Source organism: Homo sapiens, chromosome 5, assembly GCF_000001405.40.
Source record: "Homo sapiens chromosome 5, GRCh38.p14 Primary Assembly".
Taxonomy (NCBI): domain Eukaryota; kingdom Metazoa; phylum Chordata; class Mammalia; order Primates; family Hominidae; genus Homo; species Homo sapiens.
Genome location: NC_000005.10, coordinates 153,371,042 through 153,378,266, shown reverse-complemented (window position 1 = coordinate 153,378,266; position 7,225 = coordinate 153,371,042).

Sequence of the window (7,225 nt, the reverse complement as noted above, 5' to 3'; positions counted from 1 at the left end):
GGCTCTAGATCAAAGGTAGCCAGAGAAGAAATCCCATCAATGTTGGTAGCTTAGAAGCAGCATGCTAGTGCGGGACTCAGAATGGGAAGACTTGGTGTCCAGCAGCTCCTCTTCTCTCTAGCCAAACGATCCCACATGATCACTTGACTACGCTGTCCTCACCTATATGCTCACATATAAAATAACTGTTGATATAAATCAGTAGCCCTTAAACATTTTGAATCCTTGAAAACCATTGATGAACATTTTCTACCCTCTTCCCTAGAAAACATAATAAAACCAATGTTTAAAAATGAACATAAATGGGCCGGGCGCGGTGGCTCACGCCTGTAATCCCAGCACTTTGGGAGGACGAGGCGGGCGGATCACGAGGTCAGGAGATCGAGACCATCCCGGCTAAAACGGTGAAACCCTGTCTCTACTAAAAATACAAAAAAAAATTAGCCGGGGTTAGTGGCGGGCGCCTGTAGTCCCAGCTACTTGGGAGGCTGAGGCAGGAGAATGGCGTGAACCCGGGAGGCGGAGCTTGCAGTGAGCCGAGATCCCACCACTGCACTCCAGCCTGGGCGACAGAGCAAGACTCCGTCGCAAAAAAAAAAAAAAAAAAAATGAACATAAATGAATCTGCATAACCTCTGGCTGTTAAGAGGCCACTGAAGCCTATCCATGACCTCTAGGTAGAGCTCTGTGGACCCCAGGTTATAATCTCCTGGTCTAAATGCTCTTTTCTTTTTTTAACCTCCTTATAAATTTCAACACTTTTTGATTTAATGAGTAATTGATTTAAAAAAATAATTTCTTCTAGACTGAGATTTCTCCATAATGCAAACTTATGGATAAAATTCAGCTGCTTTATTAAATCTGACATTGAATTCAACATCCAATTTATTGGAAATTCATGCTTATTCTCCCAGGCAGTGTAGTTTCCCTGGAAAAAATAGGAAGCCAACCACTGTTGACTTGCTTGAAACTCTTGCTTGAAACACAAGCAAGAGTACCTCGCAGGCCAAATTCAAAAAGCACATTATTTCCTAAAACAAACTTTTTAATTTGGCTAAACTGTTCAGAAAGTCAAGGAATTCAATCCCACTCCCAGAAGTAGCATATCTCTGGAAATTGCTGAAGTCTTTTCTCTGCTACCACACACACACACACACACACACACACACACACCCCTTACGGGGTACAATAGTACAGGAGGGAAGGATGTTTTAGGCCTTATGAGACACCGCATTTCAAGTACCACATGGGTTTCCACAATCTTCTTGTTGACTATTGCAAAATGAGCATATCTGAGTTGCAAGATTTATTGTAAATCAGTCTCTCAAAGAAGTAAAACCAAATCCTCAGAGGATTCTCTGGACAACTTAATATCACAACTAAAAAATGCAAGCCATTTTTTCTTTCATTATTATTTAGGCTACTTCTCTGTAGTGCTCACAGAAAAAACATTAATTCAGATTCTTATGAAACTAACCTGCAAAGATGTACTCAACAACATAGTATACAACTAAGGTAACTTAAAAGGAACCCGTAGACAATAAAGATAGAACTAGAACAATAGTGGGCATGGGCAGTTTTGGACCACAGAGCCCTGCCTCAAGCACAGAAAAATATAGGCTCAAATATGGAATCAGCAGACTTCCTCTACTAGAAGAATCCTAGGTAAAACGGTGTGGGGGGATCTTAGCATGAGGCTAATGTAATAATTATCTGTTTATGAGATTTTATGTGAGGCTTTTCAGTTGAACCAAAAACTACCTTGTAATGTCTATTGTCCTGCACCCCTCCACCTGGGGTTTCCTGCTTCCCTGTTTCTGCTCACATAGCATTTTCTACCTCTCAATTTATTACTTATCCCACATGTAGTTAAAGGTCCATTTACCCAAACATCTTCTTTAGACTGTGAATGGCAGAATCAGTGATCACAGTTGTTAACAACCTCCTCTTCACCCCATTGGTGAGGGGATGATTCCCACCCTATGGTTATAGGGATGGCCAACAGGATGCCTCACACTGGAGAGATAAGATTGACAGTAGCCACACATATTCTCAGCCTGGGGAAGGGGGACACTCTATGATTTAAAGTCCCGGTTACTCTAGACCACTGCTCTAGGGGTTGCATTAGAACAAAGTGAACAATCAGGAAACTGACACTCCCCAATCACTAAGTGGGAATGTTGCGAAGTCCTCTTATTGAGGAGGGTTGTATGGCTAGGAGGAGAATGGGAGGGGAACTTGTGGTTAGGCCATTTGAGGCTTTCCCAATTTTACCAGATGTCAAGGCAGCCCATAATGTTGAACATTAATTTCAGGCCTCACACCATACTTGTCTTTCTTCAGGTTCTTCAAAAGAAATTCTGGTTGGGACCCAATAAGCAGCTAAGCATAGTATGTACCTCAGTGTTCATAGAACAAAAGGAGTAAATGTAACTGGTGATGACAATAATAATGATGATGACGATGATAGCAGCAACAACACTATATTATGAATCACTATCACCACCATTTGTATAGGACTCAACATGTCCAGTCACTGGGCTCTTCTCTTAGCACTCCTTGTCTTATTTAATCCTTCCTGACAAACTCCTGGATGTAGGTATAGGCATTATGAGCCTGATTTTACAGGTAAGAAAATTAACAAAATTGAGGCTTAGAGAAGTTTTATCATCACCTTGTGGAAAATGCACAGAATTGCTGGGGCTTCTAATGCCCTCCTCATGGTGAACCTGAGGGAGGCCTTGCTACAGCTCAGCCACTAAGCTCTGGAAGAGGCTGAGACAGGGGATGGTATTGGGAGATGGAGCAATGGAATCAGCAGCTGGAATTTTGTAAGTGGTGCAATGATGTGAGCCTCAATGGATTCTCTTCAGCTAGGAGTTAGAGCAAGCAGTTGATGGTCTGAAACAACTTGGGATAGTGCATAAACTGGGTCTGGTATATGCTGTGAAGAAGCCTGAGAAGGATTGGTAAGACAAGTGGAAGAAAACAAATTATGTCAAAGATGGAAAGAAAACAGCCTGTTTCAAAAATGGATCATTGATGTCAAATGTTTTTTTCAAATCCAATAAAATAAAAGCTGCAAAAAAATGCACAGAAGGACGATTTGAACCTGGGCTCTTGATAAAGAGCTCAGAGGCCTGTTATGCCATCACCAATTATTCTTTGCTAGCACTTTGGACAGTACATGAGTAAGAAGGCTATGATTTCCACTCACCCAGCAGCACTTGGGCATGGACATCTACAGATGAGGCTAAATATGAACATGGACCAAATAGGAAATGGGGCCAGAGAAGTCTCTCTGTGTCCAAATATCTGGAATGTAACTGATGGCATGGGATAAAGTGGGCAGGAAGTATATTTTAGCTGATCTAAGGAAGCCAGTAGTCAGGATAATATCGACCACACACATGGGTATCGAAGAGGAGGCCAAGGCCCTAGGCAAGACAAAAAAAAATCTGAAATAATAATACTAATAAAAATAATAACATAGAAAGCAAAAAGCCAGGAAACTTGAATCTAGGTAAATTTTCTGCGTTTTAATGGTCAGGAACAAATCTCAGCATAGCTCAACTAAGTCCTGCAGGTGGAATCAGGTGATTTATTATATGGTTGGGGTGGTGAACAGAGATAGCCAGTGAAGACAGGCAGATCCAGGAGAGCACAGCCTGGTAATATCTCTAGATCACTATTGCACATAAAAACATGATCCCCAACACTCACCATGGAATCATCTGAGATCCTGTTAGAAATACAGAGTTCTTCCTGGTCCCATTATCAATCTGATAAATCAGATTCTCTTGGAGTAATGCAGGGATGGAAATCTAGTTGCAAAGAATCAATATTTTACTAAAATCCTCAGATGATTTTTTTGTACACTGAATTTTGAAAGCCACTGGCCCTAGATACATTTTGGAGGCAGAAAATTGAGGTTAGGTGAACAGGTTCTTCCAGCTACTGCCCTGCAAAAGTAGAATTAGATGTTCAACTCTATTCAATGAGTAACCATTGCAGCTTTGTTGTTCTTCACAACTATGCCTTTTCTACCTCATCCTTCAGTCTACTCCCTCCCTTCTCTCTCTTTCTCTTTCTTTCCTCTTTCTCTCTCTGTCAGAATTCTTCATAGCTTCCCTTCTTTTTTCTTCTTCCTTTCTCTTCATTTCTCTAGACATTTATTAGCATCTCTGTGCCAGACATTGTACAACTAATATGGGGGATATAAAGATGTCATGAACTTTTTCTGTATTTTAGGAGCTTAGATCTACATGTGGAGATAGTACTAGGAAACAGACAGCTAGAATTCAAGGTGAACTATTCCCAGAGCTCTAAGAGAAATGCGTGTAAAACATTTTGAGCATTTAGAGAATAAAAGAATTCCATCTGACTGGAACAAGATAAGGGTGAAATCAAGGAAGGCTTCCTGGAAAATAGGCACTTGATTAATTCCTTAAGTATAAGCAGAATGTGGATATGGGGAAAGAACATTCAGAGTGGAAGAAACAACATAAACAAAGGCAGAAAATGTGGAGATTGAGGACCACGTGGGATCAAATCTGTTTGGCTCTAGTAGCAATATTTAAGGAGAGTAATGGGCCTAGGATGAAGAAGGTTGACACTCCCAAGAACTCACTTGGATACAAGTAGAATCTGTTTCATTTGTTGGCCTAAAATGTCCTAGAGTTTTGTTCAATAATATTCCACTGAGAAGAAAAATATAGAAAAGCTGTCCAATATTTATTAATCTGAGGTGGAAAGATTGTGCTGTACTGAGTTTTAGCAAATTTTAAAAAATGGTTTGAGGAAAGAATAGCAATGACATTTACATTAGTTGTAGCTAATGTGCATTGATTGGATTAAAATATGACATTATGAATTAAAAAAAAGCCTCTGTTGGAAAATGAAATGCCATTGCTTTCAGAGAGGGGGCGGGAAATGTAACAAGCAGCCTAGATTCTGTTTTGCCTGAATGCTCTGGATTTAGTGGGGGTAGGGTCATTGATTTAAGCTCTTTCCCTGAAAATGCATTAATAAAATACAGTTTTAAAGTTAAATAGAACCCATCCAGGACTTTTTTTCCCAACGATGATTATTTGTATGTGCATAATGCATACATCTGCGATGCCGACCTCAATTAATTTTTAAAAGTACAGTTTCTATGTAAGATAATTTATCTATTGCATTGCACAATTGAAAAATGTCTGCCTGTTTGTACAAGGAACTGCGTACTGTGAATCAATGCAGGTAATAAATTACAATCACTGTCACTTTCAACGCCACAAGGCTTTTTCCCAACCTATGCGAGGGATGCAGGTGCACTGAATGGCTCTGTCTTGGGGCTGGTGGTTGGCTAGCTAAAAACCCACAGGTTTACAGAGGGCTAAGAGTTCTTTCTGCTGGGCTCAAGATACTGTGGGCAGTTGCTGAATTCTGGGTTTCTATCTCCAAATGAAAAAAGAAATCTCTGATCATAAAAATCCTGCTATCAGGTGAAAAATACACATGCTTTCTACACTAGGTAAACATTTTCCTGAGCTAGAGACTCAGATAAACATAAACGTTAAAAAAGAAACCTGCTTGAATGTTTTTTCTCTGCCTAATTATGTAAATATGTATTACTCACTCCCTTTTTTCTTCCCAGTTGCTGGCAGCTTGTACACTTGAGAAGGTATGTTTTATTCAGGAGAACAAAACAGGCAGGGACCTGAGACTTTGGTGAATAATAAATTGATTTTGACTTGGCCTTTTAGCTCATTATGAATCTTTAAAATGGTGAAATGTGCTTCTTTTCCCTCTTTGCTGAACTCCCCAGTCGCATGCTAGGATGAAGGGTTTGGAGTCACGGAGTCACGGGGTTTAATATCCAAAAGGGAAAGCTCAGATTGAAAGGCGATCTTGAGAATGTATTCAAAGGTTGCAGTTGTTGTGCTTCTGTCTATCAGCCATCCATCCATCCATCCATCCATCCATCCATCCATCCATCCATCCATCTGTATATCTGTCCATTCATACTTCCTTTGTAATGGTTAAGATTATGAGCTTTGGATCCAGCCAGCCACCCAAAATTCAAATCCTGGCTTTGTCGTTTAAGATTGGTGTGATCTTGGGCAGTTGCTTAACCCCCTTAAGACTTTGTGTTCTCATCAGTAAAATGTGTAAAATTGATATCTACTTTTCAAGTTGTGAGGAATAAATTAGATATATTTGTAAAGAGCTTAAACTTTGTGCAGTAACTGGCACCAATAAATTTTCAATAAATGGTTGTTATTATTAACCCAATTGATGTTTATTAACAATCTACTCTGTGCCACATAGTAGGCTGAATGTACTGTGATACAGAGTTTTCATTCATTAGCTTTATAGTTTAATATAGTGGATAAGATATTCATGCCTGTGACTTCAGAGTAAGGTTGGAAATGATGAGGATGAAAAAAAATGATCAAATAAGGGCCCTGTTAGTTCAGAAAGGCTAGACCTTATTCTGGTTGTGGAGAAATGGTGAGGCTCTGTGGAAAGGATGTTACTGGAGCTAGAGTTAAAGGATATGTAGGCTTTATAATGGAAGAGTTTAGCAGGCAAAGGATTGCAGTAAGCATTCGGCTTATTATAAATCTGCTACTCTAGTGGAACTTCACAAATGCTTTTTTCCCTTAATCCTCACTACAGTTTGTGCCATGATTGAGTGTACTATGATGATTGGTATTATTATACTACCTTGCTGCAACTTAGACAGACTGAATAAAACACCTGAGGTTACACAAATGGGTTTAAACCTAGTTACCTTCTCGGTTATATAAGGATGGCAAAAGCACCTATCTTAAAGATGTCTGGGTTGATTAAATGAGGAAATACTCCAGAACACCTAGTGTGATGTAAACACACAATAAATAGTAGCTAGAATATTGTTTGGGGAATGAAAATAATGATAATTATAAGCTGATACGGATGTGGTGAGGTCACAAACCTGTTTGAGTTTTGTCTGATCTTGAGCCCTGTATTCTCTCTGTGGGCTTTGAAAATTAAGAAAATTATGAAGTGATTTGTTGAGGGGATGTTTACACAAATGGTGGAGGCACTACTCCTTATTATAGGGGTTGCCTATTATGTCCCAGGATAGAACATGGCCTTTAGTTCTAGTCTGGGCAAAGGTCTTTTATAGAAACTCAAAATCTGAGCAATAGGAAATGGCTCACAGATTGTCCAACCTTATCATTTTCAGATAGGAATT